General features: G+C 36.8%; 1 protein-coding gene across 11 annotated transcripts in view; it reads right to left on the bottom strand.

The window, feature by feature from the left end:
• Positions 1-22,077, bottom strand: part of CTNND2 (catenin delta 2) — a 932,611-nt gene that overhangs the window by 604,972 nt on the left and 305,562 nt on the right. For 3 of the 11 annotated variants that reach the window (XM_005248253.2, NM_001288716.1, NM_001288715.1), the window contains exon 1: positions 11,939-12,110. The exons of 6 other annotated variants lie outside the window; for them this stretch is intronic. The gene's annotated coding sequence lies outside the window, so the exon portion shown is untranslated. Of the gene's footprint in view, positions 1-11,927; positions 12,260-22,077 lie in introns of those variants that run through there. 2 more of the 11 variants (NM_001364128.2, XM_011513967.3) reach the window with 1 other exon arrangement.

A 22,077-nucleotide genomic window follows, 5' to 3' on the forward strand; every position in this document is an offset into this window, starting at 1 on the left:
TGCAGTAGCTCTTTGAGAGTTGAATGTCTGTCAGTATTTCAAGACTAGGAATAGTTTCCAGTCTCTTCGGTGGCTGGAGAATTCCCAGTGAGTTACCTAATTTGACCACTGGAAATCAAAATTTGCCCCCAACAATATGGTGGTACTGCTGCTGAATTTCTGTTAAATACCCACAGTGTCGGAGTTTTCTAGTATATATATGAAATGCCGAGAGCGTGCCATCTTCTCACTGACAATGACCACAGGGGTGTATTGAGTCTTTCGCACTTTGCCTGGCAGCTAATCAAAAGTTCCAATTATTTTTGACTTATTATTATGTTTTATTTCAAGGCAAGAATGACATTATCTTCTCATCGAAATCTCTGGTATATTATCACATATTAGGTATCAAATCAACATTTATGGAATAAATAAGTAAAACAGCAGTAGGGCAACAGATGCTTATGTGGAAAGCATTCTGCAAGGTGCTGAATGACGCAGTCAGGGAAGATACGAGCATAAAATTAATTCAGGTGTGGATCCTGTTGACAGTTCTAAGTCTAGTAAAATAGTTGAAATCAACACATCATTAAATAGAATGCAAAGTAATGCTAAATTGTAATGAGATGCAAATGAATTTCAAAGATGACTTTCCCTTAGAAAAGATGGAAGGGTGTGGGGACAAGGAGGGCAACGTCACATGCAGGAACTAGTATTTGAGACGGACAATGGGAGATTATTATTTGACCATGTGAAAGGGATGTCATTCCAGGCTCAAAGAACAGCAGGGATTTAAGCACAGACCTTGACAAATACTGAATGTGTGTGGTTGTGTTTCAGAGAGCAATTAGATTCCATCTTATTGGAGTTTAGGGGCAAATTTACCATCAGGCAAATTACATTGGAAGTTTGACATAAGCAAAAGGTTGATATTCAACAATGATCCTAATTTTCTTCGTTTACTGAATTTGATGCAACATCTCATCTATTTCCATACTCCAAATAAGAAACCCTTTGAAATTTTATGGAACTCATGTGTTTCACTGACAAGAAAATAGTTAATAAAATTTAACTATGTTTTTGACATTTGAGGGTCAATAGTGTAAACATGGATCTTGCACTATATTGCACTGCAAGGATGTTAGTTTGCCAGTCCCTAAATGTCCCTGTCAACAGTAGAGCTTTTCCGTAATTAGGCAAACACAATAAAGTCCACTGGGGCTATGGACACCAGTAGATACAGGTTCTTACACCCAAAAAAATAGTCTCAGTTTCTTCTGCTTCATTTATGTTGACATTTTTTTTCACCCATTCCGTGTGTTATTTTTCATAGCTCCTGCTCCTCATTGCCTCCAGAGTGAATTTTAATTGCTGCTGTCACATCCACTGTTGATTGAGGGGACTGAGGTTACCATAGGGCTGACATCAGGTAAGAGGGAGTTATTATTAAAATTGTACCCTAACGTAATAGCATAATAGTTTTATTATTTGTACAATTAACAGCCATATTGTTACTCTATTTTATCTTCACAATGACCCAATGATTGATTTAGGGTATAAACTATAATCCATTTATGTAAAGAGTAGTGAACTGGGCCAGGCGCAGTGGCTCATGTCTGTAATCCTAGCACTTTGGGAGGCTGAGAAGGGCAGATCACGAGGTCAGGAGTTCGAGGCCAGCCTGGTCAGCATGGTGAAACCCCGTCTCTACTAAAAATACAAAAATTAGCCAGGCACGGTGGCACGCACCTGTAGTACCAGCTTCTTGGGAGGCTGAGGCAGGTAAATCGCTTGAACTCGGGAGGCAGAGGTTGCAGTGAGCTGAGATCGTGCCACTGCACTCCAGCCTGGGCGACAGAGCGAGACTCCATCACAAATACATGAATAAATAAATAAATAAATAAATAAATAAATAAATAGAGTAGTGAACTGGCAATCACACAGGTAAAGTGAACTGGCAGTCAGAGAGGTTAAGTGAATAAATCAGTATCACTCAGTTAGTGGGATAGCAGAGGCAATACAGAGATAGCTGGCCCATTGGTATTTCCTATTCTTGATAAGGTATGTAATATATGTATGCATGTCAACGCTTTTGTTTCATCTGAGAAATATATTTCCCTGCTGCTTAGGAAGTAATATATTCAAAACATGAACATTCTTATATTAACTTGTTTAAACCCATGTGGGACAACAGGATTGATTTTACTGTTCATTTCTTACAATACTGCGCATTCAATTAAATACTCTCTCTACTAAAGCAGCTTAATGATTTGAACATTTCAGTGTGATCCGTTCTCAGATCAACTTCAAAAGACTGAATTTAAACCTATCTTCAAGCTGTGAAGGTTTTAGTTCCTTTCCTTTTTTTTTTTTTTTTTAACTTTTTAAAATTCCTCTGCTGGGAACGAATTAAGTACAGCCTAGCAAAGGATAGATCCATATTTGCATCCTGCTAATCAAACAAGAACTTGTAAGAATGTAGCAGTGATAAATGTACCACCGTTGAAATCATTTGTATAAGTTGGAGCAAAATGAACTGTGACCAACAGATTCCTTCCACAGCCATCACCCGTCTACATTGCTCCAATGTGCGGAAGTGTCTTAATGGATGTACATTATCAAGTTTGCAGGCTTATTTTCAGTCATAAAGAATAGTGTACCAGATGCTCTTGGTACACTGAATTTGTCACACCGTAGACAAGCTAATATCATTATGTGAGACCACAGGGGAAAAAATAAAAGATTCACATTTAATCCATATTAACTACCAGGAGACCCATCAAGGCAGTTGGGCTGGCTCATGATACAGCAGCTTCTAGCAAATTAGCAGCCCATAACAACTTAGTTATAATGAGCTGCAAGATCTTACACCATAAGCTCAACTCCATTAAACCGAGTTCAAGTACATGAATTCATGTACAAAGTATAACCTTAACATCTGTCTGTGCTTAGCCAATATTTTGTTTATGCCTTTTTAGGAACAACCAAATTATCTTTGTGTCCCCTGAAACTAGGGACTGTAATTTCCATCAACTGCAGTTTTACCTGATAGAGAGGGCTGGACTGATCACCACTGGCCTCCCCGGCTGCGGCGTCCAGCAGCAAGCTATGCATCATCCCGGCAGCTGTTCCCTACATATTGGGCCAATTTTTTCCCAAACAATTTTCCCTTGCTGTTCAAGTGGGAAAAGCAATAGTCTCCTCAGAAATTAAACAGTCAACAAAGCATGCATATCTAATAAATACTGTAGACCTTGTATTTACTTAAGCCCAATGAGTTAAATCCTATCCTACTCTACTCAACATGGAGAACATGTTTTAATAAACTTAGGCCATTTTTTTTTTTCTCAAAAAGCAATGTCCTCCTTCTTTTCCCACAGTGGACTGACTACTCTTTAGGGACTCAGGAAATACTATCACCATTATTATAACTGTTATTTCTGTTTTACAGATGGGGAAATAGAGAGATAGACTACCCATGGTTAACCAGTTGCTAAGTGAGGAAACAGATATTCAGTATATAATTTAAGGTATTTTCCATGGAGTTTTATGTAAAGAATGAATACATATTTATGGGAATAATCTAACTTTCTTATTATTTTCTGTCTTACATAACAAGTGTACATTATTCACTTGGGCAGTGTTTTCAAAATTCACATCTTACCTGCAGAAACCTTAGCATGCAGAAAAATGGGTACTGCATATATTGTTATGTCTTTTCTAGAGTTTTACATATCCAAATCTGATCTAGTTCTAATCAATCTAGATGCAACGTCTTAAAGTCTCGTAGAATTTTATATGTGGATGGGATCTAGAAAGTCATTTAGTTCATCATCCTTCTCCTTCAAGCGTCAGCCTTTCCAGCAGTTTCTCAATGAAAGTTGACAACAAAAGCAGTTCAAACCCCAATGCATACCATTCCATGGAAGGATAGCTCTGGTAATCAAATTCATAGTATGGTTTCTTATAAAAATAAAATGATTCTATCTTCTGTTCTACTTCTGGCTTCTAATTTACCAAAGCGTGAGACTGACTTTTTCACTGACACAGTAGACTTTGAAAAACCATTTGAAAAATCTTCTCTTCTGTAATTCAAACAGGGGTAGTTTAGAGGTTTCATCATTGTTTTTAGAAGCCCCCTCCTCCTCTGCCCACACCTTTGCATTGCCCTCTTGTTTTCCATGGCCTCTTCCACAACTCAAAACACCCAACAGTTTATATATGATTTCACATATGGCCTAAAAGTATCACTTTTCTTACAACTTTGAAATTAAACTTCCAATAATATAACTTAAGGTTACAGTAGCTTTCTTCCCATTATGAAATAGCTGCTTTATAGGAAACCTGAATTCAACTATAAATTTTTTTTTTCTGAACCCCTGTCAAACCAGACTTACCTACGCTACAGACTCTTCAGATGATAACTTTGAACCTGCAGACAAGGTGGGACATGCATCCCAAATTTTTATTTTTTTATCTTATATTTTTCAGCGTTTTATGTTCTTCTTGGAACAGAATTCTGTATCAAACATATGCATATTTTCTTAGCCCTGTGTAACCTGCAAATTCTATAGCTTGCTATGAAGATATTAGTCCAAGTCTTTGATTATAGTTTTGAATAGAAAGTACAGAGCTCAATGATTTGCCACAGACTCTTTTTCAGGTTGATAGTGATCCATTAAACAGCGTATCCAAAGGGATATATAAACATATGTCTACTATATGTCATCAACATACACAGATCAGCAAACACCTTGGATTGTTTTCCAGCCCCTAGATGGATTGCACTGTGATGTCAACGTTATCTTATTGGCTCCCTATCTGCAGAATCTCTGGTGGTGATGGACTCCTTTGCAAACCAAGAGCAATCATTCAAAATTATATAACTGTCATCTTTGGTTGACCCCCAACTCCAGTAATAATCAAGACAGGACAAGGATAAATGTCTAAGCTTCATAAATTACCTATTTCTCATATCTCAGGTTTCAAATTTGATTGTTAACTTCCTTACAATATGCTCAGCGATGCAGCTTAGCTAGTAGGGGCAGCAGTTGCCTCTGAAGTGGGGCATGGGAAGGGGAAGGGACGGTTTGAACTTATGTTTAAATGTACTGTTCTCTGCTTTAGTTTTTATTATATTTTTATATCACAAATGTTAGTACAGTAGTATTTGTATCATGTATAAATAAATGAGCATAAAATGGATGTTCTTACTCAGAAGACTTTTACTGACCAAGGACTGAGATTAACAAAGGATGGAGACCAGTGGATGAGACACCCACACAGAATAGGCCACAGAATGAAGTGAGAGCCCATTTCTGCTCATCTGGTCTGCATTACAGCTACAGTATACCCTAACTTGGCACTGGGAAGCCCCTGTATGAGAGACAATAAATTCCTACTCATTTGGAAGGGATCATAGAATTGAAGCTTTTAATTTTGCAGTTATGGAAACTGAAGTGGAGAGAGATTAACTGACTAAAATGAGCAGCTTTAAAGCCCATTTGGGACATTCCAGGGAAAAGAAAATGAAATGAAATAAAGTTCACATCAGAGTGGGACCTGATTCTATTCCATTGTTCTTTCTCAAAATATATTGCCCCAGTTAGGAAATAAACAAACCAAAAACCAAAACAAAGAAAGAAAAGAAAAACAAGGAAATGGAGAACGACCGTCACTGAACTACACCTTTTGGCACCACATAAATGCTGGCAGATGTTCTGGTGAGAGCATCAAGCACAGTGAAGTAACAGCAGTGCATTCCCTGTGCCGAATATTCACCTTGTAACTTAAATTCCGTCAGCATTCAGCTTTCAAAAATTGTGACTATCCACCTTTTCTAAAATAACACCAACACATCATCAAAAAATAAAGGTTTACATATAGAAATATTCAGTCCTAATCTTGCTCCAGTAAAATATTCTTCTACAGATGGAAGAGGAAGACACCACACACTTCATAGACAGCATCATATGGAGCCTGGACCACAGTGATAAGAAGGTTGCCACTGTTACTCTGAGAAAGTTATATTAAAAACACATGCATCTTTTCTTAGAATCATACAATTAGAATGCGTCGGTGCTAGCACAGAAAACAGCCTCTGACCACCAATCTCATATTATTTCCTCTACACTACAATGAAGGGGCCTATTTCATACCTGGTTAAATACACTAAGAATTTTGGATCTCATGAAAACTCACGTTTTCTCAAAGTTTCTCAAAGACATGAATGCTATTTTTAAGCAAGGCTGATAAAGTTTTTCTGGCTTCCTTCTAAAAATGAATGCAAACAGTAAGCTCTTACATAAAATTGACAGGGATAGACTCACTTGCCCTCCTTAGGATGGGCGTAGCCTCTATGCAGCCACAATGCAACTGAGTCAGGAAGCTGCATTTATAACAGTTGCCCTGGGAATTCTGACACCAGTAATTCACATGGTATCCACCATCATCCTGAGCTCCATGCTGATCAGTGGCTCAAAAAGTTTCTTGTAAGGGAAAAGTGCCTGGAGCACCTGGATGGAGGTAAATCGTAAAACAAAACAGAAGGGGCGTATGCAGTGAGAGTGGTCTAAGAACAGGCAGAAATCTAGGAGGGTTTTCTAAAATCTAAGTGAGATGCTTAAATTGAGCAATGCCCATGGATAGAAGAAGGCTGAAGGAGGGAGGGTCAGCTTCAGTTAAGTACACGTGGATACAAAATCCTGTGTTCATTTAATTCTGTGATCTCAGAAATACCATGTAATGGAATAATTACTTAGCGTAAATTTTCACATCAATCATACTGAGATAATGTCTAACATGTAGGGCCCTTGTGAAAGTTTAATGCGATATTATGGGTAAATAATCAAGAGCACACTGGATGTGCAAAATAATTTTATTGATTTTTATTTCAGAATAATAACAAAATAAACAGAGAGGTCAGGTTTATAAATTTTTAAATGAAGAAATGTAAATTTCCTATTTAATTCTACACACCCAGAGATAAAATAAGTTCCTAAATGGAATATGCATGACATCTGGTCAATATCTATGCATTCTATTTGCCAAATACATGCCCAAAAGTACCAGCATCTACAAACTAAAGTCAGGGCCAGGGCAGCACCTCAGGGTTACGTCTGATTCTACAGACACAGCCTCACAATTAACTGAAAGTCTCCCTTTTTAATTCTTTTTCATCTCCACCTCTGTTTTTACGGTTTCCAATTTTTGGAAGAAGTACTCCACGATAATGTGGGTGCAGTTAATCCCCCACCTCGGCAAGTAAATTTAATTACATTTAACATTTCAACACTGAATATAGTATCTCTTGAAGAGATTCCATTAATGCTGATGAAAATTACCAGAAATTGGTTCAGAAGAGCATGGGGGCTTGAAATGAACTGAGGCAGATAAAATTCATGAAGAAGGAACGTGTGACTAATGCGAAAGCTATGCAATAAATAACCATCTTCAGAGTTGCTCTCCTTGTAGGAACACGTATGCAAATGTTACTCTATACATGCAAAACAGTAGTGGAGGCGGAAAGGATGCAGAAAGGCTCTAATAATCGTTTTGCCTTGTACTAAAACAATTAGACAGTTGACCAACACTTAAAATTAGTTTTTGTTCTATATATACATATATATATATTTTTTTTGGGGGGGGGGAGGAGGAAGCTAGTACTGTTTAAAGTCACCGACTAACTCAATATTTTTTATTCCTAGAGGAAGAAACGCCCATAATGTTGAAAAATATTTACACACTGGAGAAGATCACAATGTAATTAGCCACAATGCAGTGTTTATTAAATTCCTAGAGATTACAGAGTTTATTTTTAAAATCATATGTGCTGAGTTTAATTAAACATATCAAAGGTAGCATGAACTTCATGGTATAGAAGCACGTAATTTGATTCAAAAATAACAAAAATGCACCCACTTTTGCTCTGTTTTCTAGGTAAGCTAGTATTAGATATGGCCAAATAATATCACCATGCACATGATTAACACTGATTGGTAATTCTTAGGACCCTAAAGATACGTTTTGTTTTTTTGAGCAGAACTTGATCAGAGCTACTGACTGAATATGATTCTGTAAAAAATCCAGGCCACTGCATCATTTTTCTCATGCTAATAGAGGATAGAAACATAAAGAAATACATGATTTAGTATTTTAGAAATTATATATACTTCTTCATGTGTTCTGTGTTGAAAACATACTTTGGAGAAAATGCAGATAAATCACAAAACCCTAGGGAGAGCTGCGGCATTACAATAATGGCCATGCTTTTCACAGTGGAAGGAACAGGCAGAGCATACAGAAGTCAAGGCATTTGTGACATTTCCATAGCTGGAGGGTGGTAACAGGAGACCACCCTGTTTAAGGTTGTTTCACTAAGAGTCTGTCTGATATCATATACCATGCCATAGAAGGGAAATACTCAGGTCTTACTCTGCTCCGATGCAGAGTAAGAAGGGTGTTGGAACATAAGCAATTGTGAATCTGCTGCCTGTAACTGACCACTTCTCTCCTACTTAAGAGAGAATACGGGGTTGCAAGTGATAACCTTCAATACTCACTACTGTATCTGTTTCACTTTTTTAATCGGGGGAAAAAGAACACTGTATATTTGATGTTAGAAAAAAATGTATTTTTTCTAACACACTATATTTATTTATATATATAACACACTATATTTATATATTTTATCTATGTATATCTATCTATCTATCTATCTATCTATCTATCTATCTATATCAGATTCTCATTTGTTTGTTCAGTAAATACACCAGGCACAGCCTAAGTGCTAGAAATGCATCAATGAAAAAAATCAGACAAAAATCCCTGCCTTCATGAAGTTTACATTCTAATGGAGAAAACAGACAGTGAACCAAATAAACAGATTACATAGAGCTACCTGTGGTCAAGGCAATTTAAAAAAGCAATTCAGGAAAATAAGACGATGGGGAGACAACTTAAGTAGAATAATTAAGAACAGCGTCATTGACAAGGTGACATTACAGAAAAGATGGGGAAGAATGAGGAGGTGAGGCGTGTGTATACCTGGGCTGGGGGGTGAGGAGAAAGGAGGGGCTAGGACGGTGCTTCATGCAAAGTCAACAGAAAATGCAGAATCCAAGTTCTAGGGGCATGTTCTAGGAGAGGTGAGGAGTTTCCTCTGCAGGAGCAAAAAGTGAGAGGAGGAAACATCTTGGGAGGCGTGGGAGGGATGGGTGGCTGGTGGCAGAGCACAGAGGCCCTTGTTGGCCACTGCAGGGACTTCTGCTCTGCATAGAGTAGTAACATGATAGGATTTACATTTTCATAGGATTCCTTTGCCTGCTATTCGAAAATAATCTTTATATTCATTTATTAAAGGTTATTTTGTGTGTCACTTAATATTTATTCATCTCAGCTACATGGGGAGGACCTAATAAACACATATAAATGCATCATATAAGCTATCTCACTGTTCATGCTCTCCTTGGCCACGACACCAGCACAGCAATTACTTTACTACATCCCAGGTACTAGTTCTCACATCTGGATCCCACCAGACTTTTTAGTTCTTGATCCCTAGGGAATGTCTCTTCCATTTTTATATGTGGCAATTCAATATTTAGAACAGAGGAATGACTCAAAAAACATTTGTTGAATACAAGACATTTCGAATGCAAAATATAAGACTTCTAAAATAGCCACAAAACTCAACTCTAAATCAGAATTCACACGTTAATAAGCTACCTGTAGAAACACAAACATAAATCTTTGTTCCCACACCATTCCAACTGGAACTTTTGATCAGACTTATTAGATAGGATTTTCCAACTTGGCCATTATCATCACATAAGAGTTGAACCACATCTGGAAGTGTGTGGACAAATAAATACATATATATTTAACAATGAAAATTCTTTTTTCTTAATTGTGTGGATAAAATTTGTGAGTCAAATGGGCAAATATATATTTTTAAACACTTGAAACTATTTTTTGTTAATTGTGTGGATACAATTTATGAGTAAAACACCCCAGAAAAGATTTTGTAACATGGCATTAGAAAATTCTCACAATTTTTTTTATTATGTTTGACTCTCTGCTTTTGTTTAAAATGCCACCTAAAGGGCCTACTTAGTATGTTTTCAGATATATCCACATAATATAAATACCTGGATTAAAAAAAAGTAAGTGTTCAAATTTAAAATATTTATAGTCGGAAATATAAGGGAATGGGCAAACATAATCATAACATCAATGAGTTAACTTAATTGCGTTTTTAAACTCTTTATTTGGATCACATACATATACTGTGTCCTATAGTTTGAAGACTTAGTGTCACGTAAATCTATTAGACTGATTTACAAAAAATGTGAGCACCCAAACACTATATTCCTGATGTGAGACTTCATAGTCATTTACTTTTATAGTTCAGCAAAATTATTAAATTACAGTCAATGTGGAAAACACTTCCAAAGGTCAAAGTTTTCTTAAATCACTTTCTAAATCCATAGCATTGAGATTGACTTTCACGCCTTAAAAATAAAAAGATTTCCTAGCTTTAAGACAATAAACATAAACTTTTACTTTTATTTAATAATTAGTTGAAATGAAATACTTAGTAAGAGATGCCCTCAGAATAATATCTTTCTTCTGATATTATTCTGATATTCTGATATAATAAGGGCCTTTCTTCCTCAGTTTCTTTAAAATAAAAATATCCATGGGTAGGCAATTAACATATTAAAACATGAAAATATGTTTCTGATAAAATTAAATCATTTTTAAGTCAACATGGTCATTCTTCACACTTAGTTTATAACTTACAAAGTCATTCAAATTTCATATAATATTAATCAAACATAAGTTTTATCTTGTGTTTGTCAAAATTAAGGTGAAAATCATTTTGTATCACTATTATTATTCATTTGAAAATACTTTAAGTTTAGAGATAAATACTTAAGGACTTTTTTATAAAGACTTTATAAATACTAAAGAATCTCTCAGGCATTCCATTTTACCGCACTCACAATTCTACAAGGTACAGCCAACTTAAATATATAACAATCTAAAATATAATTCCACAGATTGTCATTTTATTCAATCACTGGTTTCAAAAAATCAATTTGTTTCTTTAATCTGTTGGGTATCACAATTTTTTTTTTTTAACTACAGTGGTGGCACAGGTGAAATCTATGAAGCCATTGTAAATTTTGGGCAACAATTTTCTCAATGAGTTATTTGAATAAAAGCAATCTTGAAACACTTGGTAAAGGTTTTCTATAATTAAGGGGTGTGTGCATCTTATTTACACCTGCACCATTTAGAGTGTTCAAAACATGTAATTATTGTATTCTAGTTCTAGTATAAACTTATCACTGAGAACCAAATAATCTCTGCCAAAAAGAGAAAGCTATGCAACAAGTTAGCTGCCCAGTATATTAAATTTTTGGCTACTTCACATGGTGACTCTGGTTGGGTGATTTTTTTTCCTTTACTCTCCATGAATAATTTCTTTCTGGATGGGGTTATTCCTTTAACTGCGCATCGAAGGAAAAAAAAAAAAGACCTACAATTTCCAAATTAACTCTTACTTAATTCTCACAGAATTGTATGTGATTACTTACATGGATAATCATAACTTTCATAAAATCTAAAGTATATATCTATGACACACCAAGTCTTACTAAAAACAATAATTAAATGGTTATAATGGTTAGTTAATAGGGAAATGACCCATGAATTCTTACAACCACTTTCTGTTTAATTTGGTTATTTGGTTTTACAATTTCAATGTTCAGATGCTGAATAAATTGATAACTGTGAGGTCAGAAATAAATTCTTACCATATTTTCTATACAGAACTTTAACCTGCAGTTTTAAAACTTTAGTTAAAATTATCACAAAAACAACATTCATAATGAAAGCATTGAAAAACCAAACGCGGTTAGTTTTCACTTTTTGTCTTTTACCTTTACTGTACCTTTTGAAATAAATGGTCCTTAAATACTTGAAAACTGTAGTCTAGGCAAACAAGACGACTAGTCCCAAAGATGAAGGGTTACTCTTCCCTCCTTCCCCAGGCTGTGGAGCAGGCGGTTCCTGGCATCCTACCCACCTCCCTCCTCCCTCCCTGCACCACGGCTAAAAGGAACCACAGAGCAGCTCAAAAACCGAGAAGGGAGTGAAGAACAGCCTCGAAAAAGTCAGGACGCTGAATTATCCTATGGTAATTTCTGCTTTCACTCGCAAACAGTTTAAAAGAAAGCAAAGCAAGACATATCAGAGATACCACAAGCCCAGTGGTTGCTGTCTTAAAAGAGAAAAGAATAGAGTTCAGCCAGGCACAAAGGTCTCCATGGCAACAGTGAATTTAGACCCCCATTGGCATTATTTATGCAACATTTCATCACAAAAGGACCCTCCCACTAGCCTGCCTGGCAAATTCTAGTTTTCTAATCTTCCGTTCCTTTGCTTTGAATGTATCTGGATTCTTAGCTATCTGTATGTTAACATTAAAACACACACACACACACACACACACACACACGACAACAACAACAACAAAAAAACACATCATGAAATGATTATCAAACTCAAAATAGACTTTATTTCCTTGATGAATTCAAAAGCAAGAGGCAGATTCAAGATTGTTTAGAGTTCATATTCAAAGCCAGTCCGGTTTTGGTTTCAAAGATGAACAGCTGTTCAACAAATAAGTTTATTCAAATTATTTGGTTTTTTGAAATAGATTACAATTCAAAGAGAATACAAAATGGCAAAATCCTACCAACCCAAAAGGCTCACAGGAAAGACAGCTTGCTAGATACGGACTTTGAAGCTAAATTTTATATAATGATATCCATCCCCACCCACTCCTAGCTATTATAGTACCTCAAACAACTCCTTTGAGTCTTTTACCTGATTCTTTCTATTTTAGCCACAGCTTCCAAAAACATAAATTCGGCAAAGTATTTTAAGCACTTTTTATTGACCTTTGTACCAAATGGATCCCAGGTCCACATTTTATAATTAGACGACCTGGGACAAGTTATTTAAAACAGAGGTAACGCCCCAGTGGAATTAGGTTGCTGTGAGTATTAACAAGATGATATCTGCAGAAGTACTTTCTTCAATTCTAAAACAATATACAAATGTAAATGGTTAGGATAATATTTGATGGCACTGAAGGGAAACACTAGTCTTCATTTGAAAAGGGCTGTATTTAGTATTAGTTCAAATAGGAACTAAACAAGGTGACTTCTTAAAAATAAGATTTTGTAAATTTTTTTTTTTTTTTTGAGATGGAATCTTGCTCTGTTCCCCAGGCTGGAGTGCAGTGACGCGATCTAAGTGCACTGCAAGCTCCGCCTCCTGGGTTCACACCATTCTCCTGCCTCGGCCTCCCGAGTAGCAGGAACTACAGGCGCCCGTCACCAGGCCCGGGTAATTTTTTGTATTTTTAGTAGAGACGGGGTTTCACCATGTTAGCCAGGAGTCTTGATCTCCTGACCTCGTGATCCGCCTGCCTTGGCCTCCCGAAGTGCTGGGATTACAGGTGTGAGCCACCAGGCCTGGCCCTGTAAATTATTTTTTAAAAACATACAAGCTTATTATTAAAAATTCACAGTACATACTTTGATAAAGTACAGGGTAGTCCTTATTCCATACACTCCCAGCATCAAATCCATTCTCCTTTTTGTAAGGTCCTCTAAGCTGGCCGCACCATGGTCAAGCCATCATGACATCCCCCTGCCCTTGTGATAATGTACTTTGTGATATTCCCCCGTCCTTGTGAATGTACTTTGTACGATACATCCTCCCCGCCCTTGTGAATGTACCCTGCCCTTGTGACAATACACCCTCCCTGCCCTTGTAAATGTACTTTGTAACACCCTCCCCACCCTTGTGACAATACACCCTCCCAGCCCTTGTGAATGTACTTTGTATGATACATCCTCCCCGCTCTTGAGAATGTACTTTGTAACATCCACTCCCTGCCCGCAAAAAAACTGCTCCTAACTCCACCACCTATCCCAAACCTATAAACTAATGATAATCCCACCACCCTTTGCTGACACCTTTCTCAGATTCAGCCCACTTTCACCCAAGTGAATAAACAGGCTTGTTGCTCACACTAAGCCTGCTCAGGTGGTCTCTTATAGGGACACATTTAACACTTTTTATACAATTGCTTGTCTAGACCTAGATGCTTTATTCACCTTTACTTAGGTATTGATTGACACTATGTTGTCTTTAAAACAATTTTGCAAGAAAGTTCATGGGTGCCTGTCTTTCCTGTTAATGCATGTTTAAGAGGATTTTCCATTACCTGCAAGGCAGACAAATGTCCCCATTATGTAACCCTCAGAGGCATTTTTCACCTAGAATGGAATGTTTGTGGTACCTCCAGAAGCACAACTCACCATCATTCTCTGTGAAGGTGTCCCTGGTATTATGCCCTACTTAGAAGGTTATACAACTTTGGGATCACACTTTTCCTCACTCACAATTCTGAAGAAATCATTCAGTTACCTCTGACACTGAAAACTGCAGAATAGAATTAAAAAGCCAGATTGATATATCCCTCTTGTAAGAAAATTACTTTCCCAGGTGAGAACTATTGTAAAAATAACAACCCATACATTAGCTCCTAGTTATCTCTCTTCTACATCTATTGCCTTTTTTTCTCTCTTCTGCTTTATTTCTTCATACCAGTCCCGTTTATTTCTGCACTATTTGTCTGCTTGATGCTTCTAACATGGTTTCATTTCAGCAATAGCTATTTTTTTCTTTTTTTTGAATAATCTTTGCCAGCTCATTGTTACTCCTTTCATGCCTCCTGTGTCCTATGATTTCTTCTTTGATTTCATTTTTGCTCATAATTTTAAACTTACTCAAGTTACAAAAAAATTGTTAACTTTCCCTTACATCACCTGGGGGTAATTTTATTTTTCTGTGGTTATACTTTCTCTGCCTTTTGTGTATTTGTGTTTTTGTGTTCCTTTATTCTCTTTCTGATTTCTTTGTTTCTTACTTTTTATGGACAATGTCAACCCACTATCTTTAAACATTCCAGTTTATTACTTATTTTTGAATTATGGCAACCTTTTCTTGGCCTGACTTTTGCTTGGTAACAGATTGGGGAGGGGAGCAATTCTAAGTATGAAAAAAAGTGAAGGCAGCTGGTAGCTGAAAATGTAGTTCTTATGCTACCCACCCCCCAACCCCTGACATTATTTTCTCCTATTGGGACTTGTCCTTCATAGAGCTTCATCTCTCCTGTGTCCCCTCATGTCTTCAGAACTCAGTGTTTCAGTTGAGGATTCTGGCTCAGGAACCTATCTACCTTCCTTCCTTCCTTCTTTCCTGCCTTCCTGCCTTCCTGCCTTCCTGCCTGCCTGCCTTCCTGCCTGCCTGCCTTCCTGCCTGCCTGCCTTCCTGCCTTTCTTCCAGTCTGCCTTCCTGCCTGCCTGCCTTCCTGCCTGCTTGCCTTCCTGCCTTCCTGTCTTCCTTCCTTCCTTTCTGCCTTCCTTCCTTTCTCCCTTCCTCCTGCCTTCCTTCCTTCCTTCCTCTTCTTTTTTCTAAAATGAAATATGCATAATGTATGATATCTGGGAAGATACGTGTAAACTCACATATCTCCTTCATGAGTTTGTGCTGATTTATTTCCTAGTATTATTGTAAATGGAATTTTATTCGCAATCCTCTTGTATTTTTGGTTCATTTTAGTGTTTCCAGGAAAGAAGTACAATAAAATCAACATTGTGAGATAATCATAACAGTGGTTTAAGGGAAATCCCAAAGATGCAAAAATGTTTACTCTTGACAAAGTTCAACAGTATTCTTAAGTAAAAAAAAAAAATCTTTGCAGACCAGAAATAGTGGGGGAAAGCCCTCAATTTGATCAAAACAACAACCAAACATCTACCTAAAAATTATAATCAAAACCTCAGCATGCTTTTCTGGGGGGGTAAGGGGCCTGACTTAATGGACAGTGGATTCTAAAATTTATATCGAAATGCACAGGGCTAAGAAGAGCAAGCAGTCTTAAAGGAAGAGAATAAATCTGGAAGACAGCCTACCAGATAACATGGTGGACTAGAAAACTGCAGTCATAAAGATTGTGTGGTATCCACATAAGGAGAGACAAAAAGAACAGTGGAGCAGAAGAGAATCCAGACATGAAGCCACACATACACCTGATTTACAAGAAACATGACACTGCAGTGCAGAGGGAAAGATAGTGCCTTCACCTGTTGAAAAAAAATGCAACGTGACCCCAGTTGCGAAAAAATAAAAAAAATCAACTCCATCTGGAGTGAAGGGCTAGATGTGAAAGATTAAATGAAAATGCTTATATGCAGCACATGCATGACCTTGGAGTAGCCAAGGCTTTCTTAAGCAGGACACAAAATGAGCTAACCATAACAGAATATAAAAAAAGTTATAAATTGGGCCATATTAAAATTGAGAAATTCTGTTTACCAAAGACCCCATCAGGAAAGTGAAAGTACACTAATGGGAGAAGATATTTTCATTCTGTCTTTCTCTGTATATGTGTTAAGTCTGAAATGCAATGTAATATGACATTAATAGGCAACCCAATAGAAAAAGGGTAAAATACTTAACAAGCACTGCACAAAAGAAAACAACCACATGACCCATGTGGCCAATAAATAAATTGGCAAACGATTGATATAGTTTGGCTGTGCCCCACCCAAATCTCATCTTGAATTGTAGCTCCCGTAATTCCCAGGTGTCATGGGAGGGACCTGGTGGGAGGTAACTGAATCATGGGGGCAGGTTTTTCCCGTGCTGTTCTCATGATAGTGAATAAGTCTCAGGAGATCTGCTGGTTTTATAAAGGGCAGTTCCCCTGCATATGCTCTCTGGCCTTCTGCCATGTAAGACGTGTCTTTGTTCCTCCTTCACTTTCCATCATGATTGTGAGGCCTCCCCACCCATGTGGAATTGTGAGTCCATTACACCTTTTTTCCTTTTAAATCACCCAGTCTCCAGTATTTCTTCATAACAGTATGAAAATGGACTAATACGACAATCAACTTCACTACTCACCAGGGTACAAAATTTTAACCACTATAGGGTGCCACTAAGTACTCATTAGAATGATTAAAATTCAGAGAGACAGATAATGCCCAAATTGGCAAGTATTGGGTGTTATTGGAACTTTCATAAAACTGTAAGTGGGAATATAAAATGTTAAAATAAATGTGACAGTTGTGAATTTCTTCTAAAATTCTTGATAAACATACTCTGTTTCTCAGCAATTCTACTCGATAATGCCACAAACTAAAAAATGTGCACATAAGCACACCAGAAGACATCTCCTATAATGCTGTCAGTCCCAACTGAACACTACAGAAATGCTCAGTCACTAGAATGAATATAGTATAGTACACGTACACAGTGAAATACTATTCAGCAAAGTAAATAAATCATGTATAACCAGGCACACTATTATGACTGAGTCTCACACACATAACAGTGAGCAAGCTGCATTTGCTGGAATATATTAGGCTGGTGCAAAAGTAATTGCAGTTTTTGCCATTATAGCAAAAACCAAAATTTTTCTGTATGTATATTCTACTTTTGAAAAGGTTCTAAATTATTTTAAATCCTAGATTTTTGAAAGCTATAACAGGCATGCATGTATGAAAACAGGAATATTATTTACTTACTAAATGTTCTTGATTTTAAAAAATCAATTTCAAAGGTTTCTAGCAATATTGTTGCCAATTTCCTTTTTAAAGAAAATGAAGGATTTTTACTTTTTACAAAATAAAAGTAGAACTAAAGTATAAAGGAATCACTATTTGCTGTGGTATCATTAACTTTAAAATAATTGACTATGCTGTGGCCCTTTGGACAAATAATCCAATCTTTTGGACAAAAAACAAACAAATATACACACACAAACAAAACCTACATGTTCATGATGTCCATGTCCTGGCAATTTTTATCTACTTATATGGACAGAGGGGTGGAAGAATAAGTAGCATTAACACAGAAAAGCTTTAACATGAAATAGGTGACTTGGTAGTGATTTACAAATAAGTTAAAGTTAACATTTAAAATGTTTATGCTAACAAAACTTGATATTTAGGAGAGACTTTAAAAGACATGACTCCTGAAATTTTGGCTTCTTATTTTCTGATAATCAGCATTTCAGTGTAAAACTGTGTAATTCTATTTATTATCCTTCCAGACGCTAAGGTATAAAATTACACACAATTGACAGCCAAATTACTGCGTCTGCCTTCCAAGGGACACGGGGAAGCTCCAACACAGATTCTTTTGCAATTAAATCCTTGCAAGGAGTAAGATTTTTAGGGCCAGCTCAGCTTTTATCTGTAATCCAGCAGTTATCGCTGCTGAAATGGATTGCAGGAGGTGGTAAGGAAAAAAATGGGAAAACAGGATGAGGAAGGAAGTCAAACAAACAATGCTGGACTTTTGCCTAGGGGCCTTGTAGTGACAAGTACTCAGATGCAACTGAAACCCCAGTGCTGCCTGCTGCTGCACTAAACTCTTGAAACCAAGTGTCAGACAGACTCAAAAATAGAACCATTGGTACTAAGAGACTAGATGTATATGTTATCACACACTAGCTAATATCCCTGAATCCAGTGTAAATTCGAAGTCTGTACTAGCAGTGTAGGGTATATTAAATCTATTAATAATATATATTCTGGCAGGGTATAAACCTCTTATTTGAGACCTCACAAGCCTTTCTTCAATCTGTGCCTCAAACTAAAGCTCATGCAATGACAGATGAAGAAGACAAAATCATTTCAGAAGTAGCTCTCTACCCTGGCATGAAATTAATTTCACTGTATTCAAAGCAGGGTTTCTCAAATGGAATGTATAGTTGACCATCTCGGTAATAGTTCAGCTTTAAACCCATTGGCATACCTGATGTTGTAAATTATCAATCCATGAAATTCACATGCTTTTACATTTTTGGGATTAAAAAGCTTGAAGACAGCAATTTCCATCCAGTTATCAAATACACAACGACAACGATTGCCAGAAAATTAACTTAGAACACACTTTTTAAAACACATTAATTAATTAGAGGTAAAGAAACACATCTGCTATATGGAATCAGCACCACTGCCTCCTAAAATGCCACAATGCACCAGTTTTACTATAAATATATATTCTTTCCAAATAATATCAATAATAACAAAGGCAGGATCTCATTTTTAAAGTAATCTCTTTCTCCAAGACACATACAGACATGCACACACGCAAGCGCAACTTTGCAGAATGCAAAATTTTCAATTAACAAATTGGGAGTCTCTTTATGGCAGAACTGGGAGTATTTTTTGTTTATTACCAGATGGAAAGCATCTATCATATTTTATCCTTTTCTAGACCTCAGGCATAAATTTAAGGCACTGTCTTCTAAGAAATAACTCGACTTGTTTGACTACTAAGAATACTGCATCCTAATCACCCAGCATTAAGAGTGGCATTTGTTTCAATTTTTTGCATAATTAGCTCATGTCTTTACTTGATATCCTTTAACATTTATGTAAAGTGGTGATCATGAATAATACTCTGTCAAGACAGAGTGGGCCCTGTTTCTTTGGCTGGGCTTAGGTATTATGTCATTGCCCTTGGCTGAGGCACCTAAGGAATACCAATAAGAAAAAGGCACATGACTAAGCATTTTAAGTTCTTCCCACAATGTGCTTGGCTAAGGCACTAGCCAAAGAGACTACTTTAAAAATATTTATTTGCAAAGAGAAATAAAACAAATGAGTAATTTCTTGAAGATATATCACATTTCAATACATCAAAGCGTAACTATATACATGTTTTTGTATAACCATTCCCTGTAGGATATATTTGCCTTTGGTATTATAAAAATCCTTTACATTTAGGCTGGAACATTTTGTCCTTTAAATAGTTAACTTCCTACAGCCTTGGGAAGTTCAGATGCGTAGAGGGTAGTGGTTAAAGGTGCTGCCTTGGAGGTGAGGGTTACAGGTGGACAAACAGGCTGAACATGACTGGCATTCCCCTATGTCTAGGACTCTAGTGTTCTCTTTGTGCTTTTTGTTTGCTTATCGGCATTTTTTTAACTGATAGCAGTATTTAAATATTTGGCAATCAATCTTTCATGAATTCTAGTATATTTGTTCCATTTCTTCTTGACTGCCTGAGAACAAGCTCTCATTTGTTCTTTGTACTATGGTGAGGTTTGGTTTGTGTGGAGCAGGACAGGCAGCGAACCCAAACAAGTCCAGCGGAATCTCTGACGATAAAAGGATGCTGCTCACAGATATGGCAGCACTGTATATTAAACCGATGTGAATCACAACAGGCTCCGTGACTTATCATTTGTAGAAACAGCACATTGTTCTTCTAGAATTTTGAAGACTTTTCTGTAAGACTTGTTGAATATACCTCTATTTCCGAACAGTGCCTATACATTGGTATCTTAAAAATGGGGCCCTTCCGTGTATGTTACAGCTTAAGTTCGTTCTAGAACTGATATTGCATTATTTGAAATCAATGTTTAGGTGTCCACAGGCTTTGCTTACAGCTTTGTAAAGGTCTTAAATACTGAGTTTGCTCCCTTTATTACCCAGTCAATCTGGAATGAGATGATTCCTTGGTATTTCAAAGCTGCTGACATATCTGATGGACTGGATGAAAATTTAAGGCTCATTTAGCTCTACAGATTTATGTTATGTTCTCTATTTCTTGCTCTAAGCTTACAATTTGCCTTAGCCAATAATGTGCTTTTCTTAATTCATCAATGAGCAGTCCGAATTAGGGAATATTCTTTTTTTTTTTTGAAACAGAGTGTCAGTCACCCAGGCTTGTGTGCAGTGGTGTGATCACTGCTTACTGCAGCCTTAACCTCTCAGACTCAGGTGATCCTCCCACTGTAGCCTTCCAAGTAGATGGGACTACAGGTGTGGTCCACCATGCCCAGCTAATTTTTGTATTATTTGTAGAAAAGGATTTAGCCATGTTGCCCAAGCTGATCTCAAACACCTGGGCTCAAGTGATTCGTCTGCTCCGTACTGAGACTATGGGCATGAGCCACGAAGCCTGGCTTGGAATAGTCTTTGAAAATATAATAATAACAATGAAGATAAGTAGAGCTGGTATTTTATTGAGAAGTCAACTCACCACTGGATAATGAGGACAACTCATTTCCTATATCACTGAAATTACCCTTTTCCATATTCTCATGTGATAAAAATAGCTGTATTTTTGTTGTTGTTGTATCCAAAAAGCAGTTTAGCCTTAAAGTAAAATGTTATCATTGTTTCTGTGTACATCCAATGAGGCAAGTTATTATTATCTCATTTTATAAATGAGGAAACAGATTCAGAGAGGTTAAATAATTTGTCCAAAATCATGTTTGTGTTCTTAACCACTAGACAGACCTATCTATAATCATTTATAGTTTTAAGTTTGTCTTCTAGGAGCCATGGCTAACAACCACCACATCATGTTCTTATTGGGTTTGTATAATAATGATAAATCAGATTCTCCATCCCTCTACACCACAACCAAGGGGGATACGTGCTGATGAGGAGAAATTCCAGCTTCCTCAGAATCAGGTAAGTTTCTAGGTGTGCCAGGACTCCAGGGGGGTCTCCTACCCAGTAATCCCACTAAGCGATTCTTTACCACCATGGTTTTGTCAACCATTCTAAAGGTAATCAAGGTTGATATTGTATACACATTTTAAAATCCTTTATCTGATTACATTTAAATGGTATAGTGTTGTGCCTCCTTAAATAAGAGGAAACACCTATCACCTTTCTTTTCATTAAGCCTCCTATGAGAGGGTTTACAAGTTGAGGGAAAGGAGGAAGTGTCTATTTCTTATAGTCTTAATATACGAATTGAAGATGAAGAGCTGGGAAAATATATCTTCTCCATGAAAACTGATGAAAAATATGAGACTTAACCAAAAGATTTCACAAACAACTGTAAGTATAAAACTTTAATATTTATTATAGTGAAACTCATTAACAGCTGGGTCAGAAAACATGAAAAGGAAGTAAGCATCTTGTATTAGTGCATTCTCACGCTGCTATCAAGAACTACCTGAGACTGGGTAATCTA

The sequence above is a fragment of the Homo sapiens genome, chromosome 5 (genome assembly GCF_000001405.40).
Source record: "Homo sapiens chromosome 5, GRCh38.p14 Primary Assembly".
NCBI lineage: Eukaryota > Metazoa > Chordata > Mammalia > Primates > Hominidae > Homo > Homo sapiens.